This window comes from Homo sapiens, chromosome 10, assembly GCF_000001405.40.
Source record: "Homo sapiens chromosome 10, GRCh38.p14 Primary Assembly".
Lineage (NCBI taxonomy): Eukaryota > Metazoa > Chordata > Mammalia > Primates > Hominidae > Homo > Homo sapiens.
Window position 1 is genome coordinate 92,890,794 of NC_000010.11, and position 18,480 is coordinate 92,909,273.

The following is an 18,480-nucleotide window of genomic DNA, read 5'->3' on the forward strand; positions in this document are numbered from 1 at the left end:
GTAACAGGAAGTGAGGTCAGTGAGGTAACAAGAGGCAAAATTATGTAGGGTCTTATGGGCTGTTGTAAGATAAACTGGGTTTTGAGCAGAAGAGAGACATGGGCTTTGCCTTAGGTTTTAATGGGACAATTCCCATTAGCTATCATCTGGCTGCTGTATTGAGAACAGACTGAAAGGGAACAAGGATGGAATCAGGGAGACCAGTTAGGAAGCAGTTGACAAATCTACGCAAGACATGTTGTTGGCTTAGTCCAGGGTGATACCAATGGGGAGGTAGTTTGCTGGAGAAGGAGAATAGTCAAGGGTGAGTCCAAGGTTTTTTGCCTGAGCAACTAGAAAAGTGGGGTTTACTGAGATGAGGAAGACTATGGGAAGGGCAGGTTTTGTGAAAGGAGATCAGGAATTCATTTTCGGACATATTTGAGGTGCTTATCAGACATCTAATTGGAGAGATATATGAGTTTGAGGAGAGGTCAGGGCAGAGATAAAAATTTAGCAGGTGTCAGTGTGCTTATGGAATTTAAAGCTACAAGTCAAGATGACATGGAGATAGAAAAGAGAATATGTCCAAGATCAGAGCCTAGTTCTAACTCAGCTCTTACAGAACCTACATTTTTTAAAAAATTAAAAAAATTAAAATTTATATTTGACGTACATTAGAATGTAGGCATAGATGCCAAGAACCTAAATTCTTTTTTTTCTTTTTTAGACGGAGTTTCACTCTGTCACCCAGGCTGGGGTGCAGTAGTATGATCTTTGCTCACTGCAACCTCTGCCTCCCGGGTTCAAGCGATTCTCCTGCCTCAGCCTCCTGAGTAGCTGAGATTACAGGCACCTGCCACGACACCCAGCTAATTTTTGTATTTTTAGTAGAGACAGTGTTTCACCATGTTGGCCAGGCTAGTCTCAAACTCCTGACCTCAAGTGATCTGTCCGCATCGGCTCCCAAAATGCTGGGATTACAGGTGTGAGCCACTGCACCTGGCTGCCAAGAGTCTAAATTCTTAATAATTGGTATCCTATATTGTTACCTCTTGTATTAGAGAGTGTATTCATTAAAAACCTAAGACAGAGGCTACCCTCAAGAAGTTTATGGTCTATTTGGGGAAACAAAATATATTTTAAATACAAAACATGTAAATTACAATACAAAGTAATATATGATTACGTGTCAGAATAACTGTAAGGGGTTGTAAGTTTACCTGTCCTGCAGATGAAAAGATTACTTGGCATGGGAATGATTGGCAAAGGCCTGCTGGAAGAAATGGGACTTGAAATGAACCTCAAACAATGGGCAACGGATGTGGGGTGAGGTTTGGAAAGTTCCCAAGACCACTCTCAGGTTCAAAAATTTGCTAGAGGGACTTGCAAAATTCAGCAAAGTTGTTACACTCATAGTTACTGTTTGTTACAGCAAAAACAACAACAACAAAAACTTTCAAAAAACTACACAGATTAAAATCAACAGCAGAAAAGGCACATAGGACAGGGACTAGGAGAGTTCCACGAGTGAGCTTTCAGTTGTCCTTTCTCAGTGGAATTGTGGACAGCACTTACTGCTCCCAGCAGTGATGTGTGGTAACACGCATGGAGTATTGTCAATCAGGGAAGCTCATCCAAGCTTTGATATCCAGGAATTTTATTGGAGTTTGGTCATATAGCCATGACTGACTACCCATGTAGACTTGGCTGACTGCCCACATTGCTGACCTCCTGCCCCTCCACAGCTAAAACTGTGTGGCCTCAGGCCTCACCGTGAGTCACACTGTTAGCATCTGCTATTTGGCAGTCAAAGCCTTCCAGGTAAACAAAGAAGACACTTACCAGGCAGGGTATGCCAAAGGCTTTCCTCCCAGGAATCAGTGGCAAGGGTAGTCCTTTACTGCATGGTGAATAGAGGGGTACGCTCTCTGTGGAGACAGCATGAGCTGAGAGACAGTAGGAATGAATATGCCATGTTTAGGAAACATTGTGGTGACTGCAATATGGGCTTGTACCTGAGAATATGAACCCTGGAGCCGGACTATCAGGAGTCATATCCCAGCTATCACTTGTGCTGGTTGTGGAATTTATGGCAGTTCAGTAATCTGTAACTCTTCTGTAAAACAAGGGTAATAACAATACCTACTTTGTAGCCTTGTTGTGGGGATTAAAGAGTTAATATATAAAGCATTTAGAACATGAGCGTTTACTTTACATAGTAAATGCTGTAAAAATCATGAGTTTGTTCATTCATTCTTTAACCATTCATTCACTCAGTAATTCTTTGTTTTTGAATGTTAGTATGTTAAAGACTTGTATTAGGCCCACATCTCCTGAGCCTCATACCTTTATTTCCAGATACCTCATGCTATATCTAGAGCTTGTGTGGTTCTTTTAATATTATCATGTTCAAGAAGAAATAAAATACTTTCACGCAAATTATTTCTGCTAAAGGTAATATTATCACCAGTTTATTTGTTCAGAGATTTAATTTTAAGATATCACCTCTTGCAAAGATCAGGCTTACTAAATAATACATTTTGGTTAATTTTAGCTTTCTTATATACATTCAGGTCTGTGTATGATGACCAACCAAATGCGCACAAGAAGTTTATGGAAAAGTTAGATGCTTGTATCCGTAATCATGACAAGGAAATTGAAAAGATGTGTAATTTTCATCATCAGGGTTTTGTAGATGCTATTACAGAACTCCTTAAAGTAAGGACTGATGCAGAAAAACTGAAGGTAAGAAATATGTTAAAATTATTTGCCTTTGTTCTCATTAAATTACTCAAGTCTTAGTTGATAGTACATATGTACAAGTCATTATTAAGTATGTTACTTTCAAGAAGTGAATTAGTATATGTATTAGGGAATGCTCTTTATGCTCTATTAACACAGTTGTCATGCTAATGACAGGAGTATTCTCTTTTTCTGAAGCAAGTAATGCACTGACTTAACAGGATTTCTTTCCATGCAGGGAAGTGAACTCAAAACATGCATACAATGAAAGGCCCTATTTGCAGTTTTTGAATTTCTAAAATGACAGTTAGTACAATATTTATAAAATGTTATCCTCTAAAATTCCTTTAAAAGCTTATGATAAATAGTTATGTTCTCAGCATTATTTAATAATGTTAAAACTTTTTGAAAAGTTTAACAGCAGTGTGTATTTTTCTTAAAGAAAGTTGGTCTACACTTTCTGCCATACAGCTAAAACATTATTTATTAAAAGAGACCTAGATTTGTTCAGTCAGGATAAAAAATATTTAATTATAAGAATTGTCCTATTTATCTTTCTTTACGTTTAGAGCACTTAGCAGACAAAATGACCCTGGTTCACCAAAGGTTATGATTAGAAAACCATTGTATAAAGGATATTCAGATAACAAGAGACTAACTACAGCATCAATGAGGTCACTGAGCATCTTTGTTCAGAAATTAATGAGATTTTTAATAAACCAGAATGTGCTTCCTTACTATGATGACCTAATGAGTCACTTAATATGTGGGAAAATTTGAGGTTGAGCTTTGCCTGCACCTGCAGCATTAAAATGTTGCTGTGGATTGAAATTTCTGTGTTTGATGTTAATCAACCACCCAGTGTTTGCATTCAGCAAAGTATGAATGTTTAATTACCATAAAATGCAATCACCATTTCCTACAGACAATGAATGGCACATAGACCTCATTGAAGTTATCAAAAGGGGACCAGTGGTCAATTGGGTCAGTGATTTGAATTGTTTGACAGACTTAGAGAAGCAAGTAAAGTTCAAAAATCCTGAGTAAATTTGAGAAGTTTGCCACAGAATCTGTTAAAAAGAACTGTCATAAGTAATTGAAGTTAACAAAAGCCCTTTTCAATCAAAAGTTCAAGTTCAAGCTGTAGAGTTAATTTGAATTTGCATTTCTTTGTTCTAAGTTTCTCATGAAGCATGATCTGATTACAAGGGTGAGCAGTTACATCAGGGCAGTTTTATGCATATTTGTCTAACTAAGGTGAAATTAAATTTTTAAGGTGCAAGTTACTGATACCAACCGAAGGTTTCAAGATGCTGGAAAAGAGGTGAGAAAATGATACTTTTCTGGGTATTCAGTATGTAGTTGTTCTTTAACTGTTTGTTTAAAAATATGAACATTCCTTCTTTTCTAAGGTGATAGTCCACACAGAAGATATCATTCGATGTAGAATTCAGCAGAGAAATATTACAACTGTAGTAGAAAAATTGCAGTTATGCCTTCCTGGTGAGTTAAACTTGTCTATAATAAAACGTTTGGCTTGGTAAAGTTGTAATTTAATAATAGCAAGTAGTGATTCTTTGGTATGGGAATTACAGATTATTTGGTGATTGCCTCACAACAAAGACCATGCTTATCTTTCAGGTTCATTTTATTCCCTGAATATTCATGCTTTTGTCATGTTAGAAAGCTCTTGTTTGATTATATGTCACATCAGTTTCCTAGAACAGCAACTTCTACATTTCCATTTCCTTTTGGCCTCTTTTGCCTTTTGTCCCCCATAACCCTTTTTTGTTTTTCCTCGGAATACTTTCCCATGGGGAGAGTCTTTTGGTTACATTTTCTCACCTTTACCTAATTTGCCTGATTTTTTACCTCTAGTTTTCCATTGTTTTTTGTTTGTCACTTAGCAGGTTGTTTTTGCTTTGCTCACAATCTCATTGTGCTGATAAGGTAAGAAAAACATCAAAAGAGCTGGATCTTCACCATTCTTGCCTTTCCTCCTGTATTTTGGAAACGCTGTTTCTGGTCTCTTTGTTAGGGCTAAATATTACTTGGGCATCAGATAAATTCCGAGGAAATTAACTAGTATTTTCTTTACCTGGATTTAATATACTTTAAGTTGGATGCATTCTGTTCAAACAAAAGGAAGCAGGTATATGACTTTTTTTCTTTTTATTTATTTTAATTTTTAATTTTTTTAGGGATAAAGTCTCACTCTGTTGCCCAAGCTAGAGTGCAGTGGCATGATCATAGCTCACTGCAGCCTTGAACTCCTAGGTTCAAGCAATCCCCTTGTCTTAGTGTAGTGTTGGGATTACAGGCATGAGCCACCACACCCGGCCTTTTTTTTTTTTTTTTTTTAAATATAGTAAGCTGAATCCATCTTTTGTCCCATTTTTAAACTTATTATTTTTTTTTTAGGAAGGAGCCTAAACCTCCATATTCAGCAGAATAGAATGAGATGATGAGATGTTTTATATTATATATATATGTGTATATATGTGTATATATATGTGTGTATATATATGTGTATATATATGTGTATATATATGTGTATATATATGTGTATATATATATGTGTGTATATATATGTGTATATATATGTGTGTGTGTGTGTGTGTATGTATGTGTATATATATATATATATATATATATATATATATATTTTTTTTTTTTTTTTTTTTTTTTTTTTTTTTTTTTGGCGGAGTCTCACTCTATCTCCCAGGCTGGAGTGCAGTGGTATGATCTCTGCTCATTACAACCTCCACCTTCTGGGCTCAAGTCATTCTCCTGCCTCAGCCTCCTGAGTAGCTGGGATTATAGGTGCCACCACCATGCCTGCCTAATTTTTGTATTTACAGTAGAGGTGGGGTTTCACTATTTTGGCCAGGCTGGTTTCAAACTTCTGGCCTCAAATGATCTGCCTGCCTCGGCCTCCCAAAGTGCTAGGATTACAGGTGTGAGCCACTGCACCCGCTATATGCTATTTTTATGATGTAAATTTAGCTTAGACTACAAATTATATTGTTAAAACTGTTAGCAGATTTTATTGGCTAAAAAAATTGTAGTATTATTATTATTATTATTTGAGACAGAGTCTCACTCTGTTGGCCAGGCTGGAGTGCAGTGGCTGAATCTTGGTTCACTGCAACCTCAGCCTCCCAAGTAGCTGGGATTACAAGCATGCGCCACCATGCCCGGCTAATTTCAGTATTTTTGGTAGAGGTGGGGTTTCACCATGTTGGGCAGGCTGGTCTCAAGCTCCTGGCCTCAAGTGATCCATCCACCCCAGCTTCCTAAAGTGCTGGGATTACAGGTGTAAGCCACTGCGCCTGGCCTGTTTTTTGACTTGTGAGAATAGCTTTTCTTTTTTTTTAGAATCAATGAAATTCTACTCAGCTTAATCTCTGATGGACCAGGTATATTTACGTAAAAACTTTGAGTAAATAAAATGTTGGCTTATTATGTTAAGTTTCAGGGTTGAGAAACCTATTTCCTTATAGTCATGTTTAATAATACCTCTTTGCCACCGTCAGGTGCATTGTAATAGCCATGAAGATGTCCTCTAAGTTTGAATGTTTTGTCCCTGTCTGATAATAAACCTTAAAAATTGGGTACTGATGGAATGAGCAAGAGCCAAATTCAGCTTATTCCCCTACTGGGCTATGTAAAATAGAGAAATAAAGGGAAGTAGAGGTCAGCCGTTTGTTACTGCTACTGTCTTCGTTTTTAAGGCTAGGCCGCAACTCTTAGTTCATATAAGTATTGTGTTCCTAATGGCCACCTCCAGAACTACCTGCTTTCCTCTATTCATCTTTCTGTCCTACTATCCACTTATAAATGTGTGTGTGAGGCATCATGGTAGGTATTGGAACTATAAAGTTGGAAATGACACAATCTCAGCTTTTGAAGGATCCTACAATCTGTGAAAGGAAAATAAATCTTGGGACCCCAAAATCACTAAGCCAAGAAAAAAGTCAAGCTGGGAACTGTGTCAGGCAAACCTGCCTCCTATTTTCCTCCTGAATAAGATAGGTACAAAGATAAGAAGCTACATACTCCCTCACAATTTGCCCACTGGAAATTCCTTATGGACAAAGGACAGACAGAACACAAAGTCATCCCTCTGAGGCTCACCTGAGACAAATCCATATCTGATTGCTTCCTCTGCCCTTTTATTTGTATAAAAATGCAGATTCACTGGGCCAGACTAAATTGTATATTCAGTGGAAGGCTGATCAAGGACTCAAAAGAATGCAACCTTTTGTCTCTTACCTTCTTCTAATCTGGGAGCCCCCACTTCTGAGTTGTCCTGCCTTACCAGACTGAACCAATATACATCTTACACGTATTGATTGATGTCTCATGTCTCTCTAAAATGTATAAAAGCAAACTGTACGCCTGACGACTTGGGCACATGTTTTCAGGACTTCTGAGACTGTGTCATGGGCATGCCCTTAATCTTGGCAAAATAACTTTCTACATTGACTGAGACCTGTCTCAGATACTTGGAGTTCACAGATCTTATGGGAATAAAGACACGTAAGTCATCAGTTGCAGTGCAGTTGCCTAACTCCTCCGTGGATTAGGAGGAGTATGAAAGGATGTGAGAAGTCATAGCTTGGGCATGGTGACTCATGACTGTAATCCCAGCACTTTAGGAGGCTGAGGTGGGAGGATCATTTGAGGCCAGGAGTTTGAGAACAGCCTGGGCAACATAGGGAGTCCCTGTCTCTACAGAAAATTAAAATTAAAAAAAAAAAAATTAGCCAGCTGTGGTGGCGTACCTGTGGTTCTAACTACTGGGGAGGCTGAGGTGAGAGAATTACTTGAGCCCAAGAGGTTGAGGCTGCAGTAGGCCATGATCGTGCCACTGCCCTGTAACCTGGGTGACAGAGTGAGACCTTGTCTCAAAAAAAAAAAAAAAATCACGGCATAAACAATGCATTTATTTTCCTGGTGTATTAGTTTTTACTGTTTTTGAGGAAAGCATTATTTTTATATGGAAATAGCATGAGGTAGATATGAAATTTACATGAATTGTTAAGCTTGGAGACTTCAAAGAAAGTTTATACTTATTGCAGCAGGCTCTCTCCCAGTTTATGTGTTCCCTCTAATGCTTTGGTTGGAAAATGTGAAAAAAATTACATTACAATATAGAGGCTATGATAGAGAGATATACATAGGGTCCTGTGAAGCGACAGAGTCAGGGTTGATTCACTACAGCTACCACTGCAGTTTTTATGGTTTTCAGACACATAAACGATGTTTTTTGTAAACTTGGAGACCCCTAGGAGGAGTCATATGACTGTAGAAAAATCTGGAAAAAAATGTTGTCTGTCCATATTGTAGAGGGAAAGCAAAGTGTGTACTCATTCTGTACTTTGAAATTCTAAGTTTAAAGGGTAAAAAGGTTTAAAACCTTTTTAGTGACACTATATTATCTTGGCAAAGAATAATTTATTGAATAATTGCATTCCTTTCTATCAAACAATTGCATTTGATAGAAAGGATGAAATGAATAAAGATGCTTTGTTATGTTTATTTCTGGCTGTATTATAATTCACTCCTGCTGTAAGCTTTTGACGTTTTTCTTTCTTTGTGGATTTGGTATAAACTTTTGTTTATAGTGAGTTTAACACAAGTGTGTTATTTTATTTGGTATGTTGAGTCAAAAATCAGTGAATCTCACACTCAACTTTCTCTCTCAAATAACTAAAGTCTAAAGTTCCAGTTCTATTTCAGGGAAGAAATATTAGTAGTTTCTGGATAGGATAATTGTTAGTAGGCTAATGTCTCAGTTATACGTGGTTAGCATATACAAGTGTTCCAGGTTCAGTATAATACATTTATATGTATATATGTGTGTGTGTGTATATAATAAAATGTTCAGTATATAAGGAAATAAACATGTTTTCATATACTTGAAGTATTTAACATTTTATTTGAAAATATTAGCCTAACTCAAGTTGTAGAAGTCTAATGAATTTGTAATATACTCTTTCCTGCTTTGATTATTTTCATGTCTCAAAATATTTTCTTTTCATTTTGAAAGCTAAAATGTTATATTTTTTAATGCAGTGCTAGAAATGTACAGTAAGCTGAAAGAACAGATGAGTGCCAAAAGGTGAGTTGGTTTTTTTCCTATTGTTTTAAATAAGAATTTTTTTCTATTATTGAAAGGACAGATACATTTACTATAAATCATAGTGAATCATGAGTTTTGCTTTCTTCATTACACTAACCTTTGTACTTAAAATTTGCGCATCAGGATAATCCACTAAAGCAAATCTTAGCCTTTTATTAATAAATCATTGTCCTTTATAAATGATATCAAGGATTGGTAATGTTGATCAAGTACAAATAGCCGAACAGGAATGAAAATATTGATTAGCTTACCAACATACTAATATTGCATGTAACTAAGGGCTAAGTGCATATTGTGGAAGGAAAAGAGTGTAGGCAGTTATATTTTGACAGTCTGGGTGAATGTAGTAGTTCACATTCTGTTTTATAACTCAAATGCATATATGACAGTTGAAAAAGAAAGTAATTTAAAGTAGTTTATTGATTGCCATAGGAGCATTGGATATAGTGATGTTTAAAATATTTTAAAGACGAACAGTTTTGGCCAGGTGTCATGGCTCATGCTTGTAATCCCGGCACTTTGGGAGTCTGAGGCAAGGGGATCACTTGAACCCAGGAGTTTGAGACCAGCGTGGGCAATATAGGGAGACCTCATTTCACCTCCCCACCCCCTTCCCCCCAAAAAACAAAAGAAAAAAAACAAATGATTCAAAAGTAACATAGAAAAACCAGAATAAATTAGACAATTTGGACTAGGGAAAAAATGATTTCTTCTTGGTTAGTAACTACTTAATTATCAGAACACATCTTATACAGACCTATAGTAAAAGATGTGTGTATGTCCTGCTTCATTGTGCTACATGTTGAATTTCATTAGGCTTTACCAGTTAATACAATTTAGTAGAATGATTTTTTCCCTGTAATAAACAAGCCAAAAACTATTCTGAAAGTCTTATTTTCTTTCACGTATGTATTAATAATATATTCTCTTTTTAAATCAATGTTATATATCCTCACATTTTAAAGATTCAAATAATTTTCCTACGCGTTTGCTGCCAAAAAAAAAAAAAACAGATATCACCTTTCCTATTTCCCATTCACCATTCCTTCTTTATAGGAGCAAAAACTTTTACCTCTTTTAATGGATTATTTTGGTATTTATATTTATGTCTTTAAATAACTAACTTTTAATTATTACCATATTATTTTCCAGTTTGGGGCATTATCGGTTTTTCAGTAATATAATCTAATATTTATACTCACATTTTCTCAACTATCCCCAAAATGTCTTACGTCTTTTTCCCTCCCTGAAAACATTGATTTGTATGTGTTCTTTTGTCCCTTTTAATCTAGAACAGTCCTCCTGTTCTTTGTTTTTTTCATGGAAGAGTGCAGGTCAGTTCTCTTGTAGACCAGGGCATTTTGGATTTATCTAGTTGTTTCTTCATGTTTAGATTCAAGTTAAAAGGTTTTGGCAAGAGTATAGCATAAGTGATACCTCACATTGCATGACATCAGGAGGCTTATAAAGTCATGTTGTCCTTAGGTTATGCTAAATTTGATCATTTGGTTAAGGGGAAGTCTACCAGATGTCTTTTGAAAAGGTATATTTTTCTCTTTGCAATTAATAAGTAATATGTGGGTCCTGTTTCCTAACAGGTTTTCACCCAGTAGTTTTATCATTCTTGCCTTAATCCGTTATTATATTGGATTTACAAGATGTTGATTTAAAAAATTCTATTATTTCTTAAACATTTATTAACTGGCTGTTTTATATATAAAGAAGAGCTTTTTATTCCCCACCACCACCTTTTTTCTTTTTTTCCGATTATGGCTGTGAACTTACGCATTTTTAAAATAAATATATTATAATTTATTATTGTCATTATTCATTTTGATGCACAAATTGTTTCAAATTTAACAAGAGAAACTTCTCAAGCCAATTCCTGTGTCTTTGTCTTTGAGTATTTTTGTGTTTATTGTATCGTAAGATGTTCCAAGCTCTCATTGTGCCTTTTTTTTTTTTTTTTGCCTCAGATCTGGAAGCAGCCATTCTCCAGGGTACCCTAGCTCCTTTTAGTATTAATGGTATTTAGAAACTAAGATGTATGGGTTGGGAGCAGTGGCTCACACCTGTAATCTCAGCACTTTGGGAGGCTAAGGCAGGTGGATCGCTTAAGCTCAAGAGTTTGAGACCAGCCTGGCCCGTATGGTAAAACCCCATCTCTACTGAAAAAAAAAAAAAAATAGCTGAGCGTGGTGGCGCGTGCCTGTAGTCCTAGCTACTGGGGGGTTGGTGGGGGGTGGGTGCTGAGGCAGGAGGATCTCTTGAGACAGGGAGGCAGTTGCAGTGAGCTGAGATTGAGCCACTGCACCCCAGCCTGGGTGACAGCAAAACCCTGTCTCAAAGAAAAACAAAAACAAAAACAAGGAACTAAGATGTATGTGCTAGGTGGACTTATTACACACACACACATACACACACACACACACACACAGTTTGAAGTTGTTAGTTTGTGACCTACCTTTTCTCTCTTTTAGAACATTCTCTTTGTCCTCTGTGGTCTATCATTTCCTGATGATGTCCTTTGATGTGGTGGGTACTTTTTGTGGTGGGTACTTAGTGAGCCTTCTTTTAATCTGGAAATTATCCTTTAATCTCATAATATCCTTAAGCATTAGGAAGTTTTTTTGAATTATTTTTTTCTTTCTGTTTTCTTATTTCTCTAGGATATTAATAGTTCAGTCTTCTAGATTGGTTCTCTAATTTTCTTATCTCTTCTTTGACATTTTAAAATCTCTTTGTCTGCTTGCTCTTTTTTCTATGAGATTATTTCATCTTTACCTTCCAAAGGTGGTGCTGATTTTTAAAAATTTCTGCTAATTTTTAATTTCTAGGAGCTCTTTTTTGATCTCCAAATTTTTTTTTCAGGTAGCCTCTTGTGTTTGCTTTTTAGAGATTCTTGGAGTTGTAGACTTATGACTTGTACATTTTTGTTTATGTTATACTAAAATAAACACACCTGTGTAGCCACCAAGTTTAAGATGTTGAATGTTATTGCTACCCAGAAGCTTTCTTATACTTCCTCACAGTCACTGCCACCAAAACAAGATGAAGAATACTTCCATTACCCCCACAGTTTGCTCATACCTCCTTCCAATTTCTCCTCCCTTCTCTAGAAATAACCACTTTCTGATTTTTAACATCATAGGTTAGTTTTGTGTGTTTTTAGAATTGATATAAATGGAATCTTCTTCACTCCCGATAATGTTTTTAAAATTCGTCTGTGGTTGCATAATTTCTTTTTATTGCTAGAATTTGTTTATCTATCCATTAGTTGCTATTTGGGTGGTTTCAGGTTTGCAGGTATTATGAATAAGACTGCCATGAAATTAAGGTACAAGTCTTTTTTATAGGGATATGTTTATATTTCCATTTAGTAAATATATAGGAGTAGAATTGCTCAGTGATAACATAAATGAATGCTACACTTTTTAAGAAACCGTTAAATACTTTTCTATTTAAAATATGATTTGAAAAATAGACTTTAAAAATATAATTTAAAAAATAATTATTTTAGTAGTACCATTTACGCTTCCATTAGCAATGTATTAATATAAGAATTTCATTTGCTCCACATCCTTGCAAACGTATGGTGTTTAATTAGTTTGTTCTAGTTGAGCCATTTTGGTAAGTATAAAATAGTATCTCATTGTTTCAATTTGCATTTTCCTGATGACTGATTGTTTATAGATCAGAATAAACAAATTTTTTTTTTTTTTACCATCAGTGAAATCAGAGGTAGAAAAATCATGGGTTTAGACTGTAGAAAGAAAGGATTTAGATTAGACACAATCCAGGGCATCTAGATGATAAAGGTTTGGGAATGTTGAATTTCAGTGGCAAGAAAACCTTTGGAATTGGCTTATCTAGAGATCTCTAAGTGTCATAAGTGCCTTTTTGTTTGGTATTTGGCTGTTTGTATGTTTTCTTTTGTGAAGTGTCTGTTCACATCTTTTGCTTTTTTTTTATTTAATAGATTTTATTTTTTAGAGCAGTTTTAGGTTTACAGAAATATTAAACACAAAGTACAGAGTTCCCATATACTTTTCCTCTTCTTTCTAAGCAGTTTTTCTGTTATTAATGTCTTGCATTAATATGGTACATTTACTTTAACTGATGAACCAATATTGACACATAAGTATTTACCAGAGTCCATAGTTTTACAGTAGAGTTCACTCTGTGTTGTACAGTTCTGTGGATTTTGGCAAACATATATCATGTATCCATTACAGTATCATACAGAATAGTTTCACTGCCTGAAAACTTTCCTGTGCTCCCTATCTTTCCCCATCCTTCCCTGCTGTGAACCCGTACCAATTACTGAACTTTGTACTGTTTCTATAGTTTTATCTTTTCCAGAATGTCAGATAGTTGAAATAATACAGTATATATATAATATGTTCAGACTGGCTTATTTCGCTTGGCAATATGCATTTAAGGTTCCTCTGTGTCCTTTTGTGACTTGATAACTTATTTCTTTTTTATCACTGAATAATACTACACTGTATGGATGAACCATAGTTTATCCATTCACCTTTGAAGGACATCTTGTTGCTTCCAAGTTTTGGCAATTGTGAATAAAGCTGCCATAAACATTTGTGTGCAGGTTTTATGCATGTAAATTTTCAATTAATGTGGGTAAATACCTGGGGATGTGATTGCTGGATCATATGGTAAGACTATGTTTAGTTTTGTAAGAATCTGCCAAACTGTCTTCAGAAGTGGCTGTACTATTTTGCACTCCCTCCAGAATGAATGAGAGTTACTGTTGCTCCACATCCTCCACAGGATTTAGTGTTGTCATTTTTTCGGATTTTGCCTATTCTAATAGGTGTGTAATGATATCTCATTGTTATTTTAATTTGTAATTCACTAATGACACATGATGTTGAGCATCTTCTCACATGTATGTCTTCTTTAGCGAGGTGTCCAAGTCTTTTGATCACTTTTTAATTTGGTGGCTTATTTTTGGATTGTTGAGTTTTAAGTGTGCTTTTTATATTTTGGATTCAAGTCCTTGATTCAATTTGTGTTTCGAACATATTTTCTCCCAGTCTGTGGCTTGTTTTTTCATTTTCTTAACAGTGTTTTTAAAGAGTAGGAAGTTTTAGTTTTAATGAAATTAAATTGGAAAAGTCCAGTTTACCTTTTTTTCTTTCCCTCATGCATTGTGCTTTGGTGTTTCTAAAAACTAATTGCCAAACCCAAGGTCATCTAAATTTTCCCTTGTGTTATCTTCTAGAGTCTTAGAGTTTTGTGTTTTACATTTAGGTCTATGATCTATTTTGAATTAATTTTTATAAAAAGTGAAGGTCACTGTTTACATTTATTTATTCACTTTTTTGCATGTGAATGTCCAGTTGTTCCAGCAGCATTTATTTAAAGAACGACTCTTTTTCCATTGAATTTCCTCAGTTAACTGTATTTGTGTATTTCTGTGCTTTCTGTTTCATTTTAACCTACTTGTTAATCTTTTCACCTTTACCATACAGTCTTTAATATTATAACTTTATACAGTATTAAGTCTTGAAGTTGGGTAGTGTCAGTCTATCCTTCAACTTTGTTCTTCAATATTGTGTGGCTATTCTGGGTCTTTTGCCTGTCTATATGAACTTCAGAATCACATTGTTGATATTCACAAAATAAGTTGCTGGGGTTTTGATTGGGATTGCATTGAATCTGTAGATCAAGTTGGGGAGAACTGATATCATCAGTTGATGATATTGAGTCTTCGTATTCATTAATATGGAATATCTTTCCATTTATATAGATTTTCTTTAATTATTTCTATCAGAGTTGGTATTAGTTCCAGAAAATTTTTTGTTGAAGGTTTTTATATAGATACATTTCATGTTACCTGCAAAGACTTCTGTTTCTTTTTTCCCAGTCTTAATACCTTTTTTTCTTGTTTTATTTCATTAGCTACTGCTTCCATGTAGTATGATGTTGACTAGGAATGGTGAGAGGGAGCTTCTTTGCCTTGTTCTTAATCTCATGGGGGAAAAGCATCTTGTTTCTCACCATTAAGTATGGTATTAGCTTTGTATAATTTCTGTTCCTTTAAATTCGTTAAGGCATGTTTTGTGGCCCAGAATGTGATCTGTCTTGATGTTCCATGTGAGCTTGAGAAAAATATGTATTTTGTAGTTGTTGGATGAAGTATTCTGTCAATGCCAATTAGATCCAGTTGATTGATGGTACTGTTCAGTTCAGCTATGTCCTTATTGAATTTCTGCCTGCTGAACCTGTCAATTATTGTTAGAGGCTTGCTGAGGTCTGCACTTGTAATAGTGTATTTATTTATTTTCCTTTACAGTTCTGTTAGTTTTTGCTTCACATATTTTGATGCTCTGTTGTTAGTTACATGCACAGTAAGGATTGCTGTGTCTTCTTGGAGAATTGACCATTTTATCATTATGTAATGTTCGTTATCCCTAATAATTTTCCTTGCTCTGAAATCTGTTTAATCTGAAATTAATATAGCTGATCTACCTTTCTTTCGATTAGTGTCAATATGGTATATCTTTCTCTATCCCTTTATTTTTTATCTCTTTATGTCTGTACATTGGAAGTGATTCAGACATCACATAGTTGTGTCTTATTTTTTCCACTTAGAATTTAATAAAAATTTCGTACTTTTTCATGTATCTTGTAAATTTTTTTGTATGCAGGACGTTATATTTAAAAAGAATAGAAGAGACTGAAGTAACCAATTCTATGGTAGGACAAACTCTGGTGAAATGGAAATACCCAAGGGAAGGCAAATGAAGTAAGAACAGTGGCATAATTTGTACTTTGTAGGCCAGAGAATCATTAGAGTACTCACATGTTCTCCATTTAGTGATGACATGTACATTTTTAGAAGTATCTTGTATTTATAAAAACAGACACCTTGTCAGAGGTTTAACATATAGGGAAATTTGCTCTACTTTGTTTATTTTTAAAAATCAGAGACTTAACATTCCAACTATAAGGACATCATTACCTTATAATAAAAGACTTTACATATAGGATAATAATTTGTTTTAAAATAATTTATAAGGTAAATTCCATTATATATTGTTGAATAGAGTATGAGCTTACAGAAGTGGAAGTGTAGATATATGACTGGATGGAAATGTGGCCAAATGCTGATGAGTTAATTACAACATGATAGCATCAGATCATAGGTGCTTTTTATATTCCCCTTATAGGTTTTGTATTTTTCTAGTGGTTATGGATTACTGTTACAATTTTGTAAAAACAACATTATGTGTATCTAAAGGAGAAATGGTAATCTATTGTGGTGCTGTTTTTGCTTGCATTTAGAAACAGATAAAACATAGGAGATTTGTGGCTAAATTTTAGAAAGGATCCAGGGTCTGGTCTCTGACTTCTGCTCTCTGCCTAAAATGATAAACTTTCTATATATCTTCACCTGAATTTTCCCAGAAAGCAGAGTCTGAGGTAAAAATCATGTATTTTACTACTTTTTTAGGGAGTATAATCCTAGGGAAGTTCTCTGAATCCTAGTTTTAGGGAAAGGGAAATGAGACAGGAAAGTTGAGAGAGCAAATATGAGGGTGAGTTATTGAGTTATTTAAATACCTTTAGGGAGGTTGTATATGTTATTGCAAATCATAACCTTCCCTCCAGGAAGAGGAAAGGAGAACTTATCTCTGACTTGCTCTTCTTATTGGTTAAGAGTTCAACCCCCTGACCTTAACTCTCTACATTTCTGGGTTGTGCGTATATGGGCGCTAGGTAAGTCTTATGACCTCTCTTGCCTCTGATGATGTCTCATGGGAGCGCCAAGATGGGAGGTGAGAGATGAGCGGCATGAAGGGAGGCACAGTTGTGCTATGAAGTAAGTTGACTGTGTCTGTGGTATGTTGCAAAAGCTACTGGTAATACTTTTCATTTATTCTGCATCACTTAGGATTTCAAATACATTGTAGACATTAGCATGAATTTTCAGAAACCATACCTGTTGTAGAGAGAATACTTTTGAAATATACCTAGTTCATATCAAATCAGGAAATTAGTCAAGGATCAGATAGTGTGGTTTGACTGTTAATTGATCTGTTGCATTTAAAATGTTATGCATTACACTGAAAATACATAATTCATTATTTCACTTCATCAAGCCTTTAATATCTCAGGTATTATCAAAATTATTGTAATGACATCTCTCCTACCCATACCACCACCTAAATATTTTAGTTTCTGACCAAATGTACATTTTGTTTACATTATAAGCATTCTGATGTTTACCAAGATAAAATTTAGATGGTCTAATTTTTAAGTTAGTTGTAATATTTTGTCACAATTTGCAGAATATACTCTTATCTTTGAGAGTATATGCCAGAAAACTAATTGGTATTTTAAAACAGCTTTTGAATATAATGTCTTTTTTTTTTTTTTTTTTTTGAGAAAGTTTCTTACTCTGTCACCCACGCTGGAATGCAGTTGCACGATCTCACTGCAACTGCCACCTCCCAGATTCAAATGATCCTTGTGCCTCAGCCTCCTGAGTAGCTGGGATTACAGGTGTGCACTACCACGCCCGACTAATTTTTATATTTTTAGTAGGGACAGAGTTTCACCACATTGGCCAGGCTGGTCTCGAATTCTTGATCTCAGGTGACCCGCCCACCTTAGCCTCCCAAAGTGCTGGGATTACAGGTGTGAGCCACCACACCTGGTGGGTCTTTTCAACTTGCTTTTGTTTTCACTTATGTCTCATAGTTTCTATCAACTTACTTTGTTTTGCCTTTTTTGTACATTAGTTAATGCCTTTTCCTGCTTTTAATGTCATCCAATTCAATAGAAAGATATGGAATACTATGTAATTAATTTTTAAAGTTCCTCTACCTAACTCTCAAATAGATTTTTGGTGCTGAGTATTATTGTAGGAAACTGATAGTTTGGTAAGGTCTCAGTCCAGCTACGAATTAATATGGTTTCTTGGCTAAATTATATACTCTTTTTCTGTATTTTAGTGTTCTCATCTATAGAATGCTACTTGTAATATCTGCCATAGAAGTGTACCTCATAGAAGTCTAAAGAGAACTAAATTATGTATATGAAAATATATGTCAATTTATCTAGGGCAAAGGCTACACTTTACTAATTGCTGCATACCCAGCATGTCACACTGTGAAACAGTAGCCCCCAAAGCCCAAAAGAGGAAATATTACATTCAGTAAATATTTGTTGAATTGAAAAAGCACTCTACCAGTGTGGATTTTTACCTGTTTTTTGTGTGTGTGTGTGTGATACTTAACAGTATTTCTAATTGCCTTAAATATTAGTATGACATTTTTTAAAAAGTTAAATAAATTTTATTTTAATTAGAATTATATTCATGTTATGTAATTTTTGTGTGGTGATACTGTGTGGATGGATATTATGATAGGAGACAGAATACAAAATCATATAACAAATCACTAGATGTTATAATTCACAAGTTTGAAACAATGATACATATTCATTTAAGGTATTAAGATGCTATCATAATGCTTTTGATGTTATAGATTCAGATGAAGTGAAAAAAGAAGTTTTACATTAATGTATGCCATCAACTTTGAGCCTGTGGCTTGTTTATGTGGTTTATAGTTTGTCCT

At 35.0% G+C, this 18,480-nt stretch overlaps 1 protein-coding gene across 12 annotated transcripts in view, besides 3 other annotated features; it reads left to right on the top strand.

Moving 5' to 3' along the window:
- The window catches only part of EXOC6 (exocyst complex component 6), a 232,660-nt gene that overhangs the window by 63,963 nt on the left and 150,217 nt on the right, over positions 1-18,480 (top strand). For 11 of the 12 annotated variants that reach the window (NM_001013848.4, NM_001319194.2, XM_017016344.3 and 8 more), the window contains 4 exons: positions 2,556-2,727; positions 4,001-4,048; positions 4,137-4,227; positions 8,806-8,851. In NM_001013848.4, coding sequence (NP_001013870.1) covers positions 2,556-2,727; positions 4,001-4,048; positions 4,137-4,227; positions 8,806-8,851 — 357 coding nt within the window. Of the gene's footprint in view, positions 1-2,536; positions 2,728-4,000; positions 4,049-4,136; positions 4,228-8,805; positions 8,852-18,480 lie in introns of all 12 variants that reach the window. The other variant, XM_024448047.2, reaches the window with a different exon arrangement.
- Positions 1,599-2,098: an enhancer, noted in NCBI's record as "NANOG-H3K27ac hESC enhancer chr10:94652149-94652648 (GRCh37/hg19 assembly coordinates)". NCBI's record gives its function as "activates a minimal SCP1, AML or CMV promoter by ChIP-STARR-seq in naive H9 embryonic stem cells {active_cell/tissue: H9 hESC(naive)}" and the evidence as "EXISTENCE:reporter gene assay evidence [ECO:0000049][PMID:30033119]".
- Positions 3,431-4,066: an enhancer, noted in NCBI's record as "NANOG hESC enhancer chr10:94653981-94654616 (GRCh37/hg19 assembly coordinates)". NCBI's record gives its function as "activates a minimal SCP1, AML or CMV promoter by ChIP-STARR-seq in primed H9 embryonic stem cells {active_cell/tissue: H9 hESC(primed)}" and the evidence as "EXISTENCE:reporter gene assay evidence [ECO:0000049][PMID:30033119]".
- Positions 17,249-17,409: a silencer, noted in NCBI's record as "fragment chr10:94667799-94667959 (GRCh37/hg19 assembly coordinates)". NCBI's record gives its function as "represses an EF-1alpha promoter that drives an FKBP-Casp9 reporter gene in an ReSE screen in K562 erythroleukemia cells {active_cell/tissue: K562}" and the evidence as "EXISTENCE:reporter gene assay evidence [ECO:0000049][PMID:32094911]".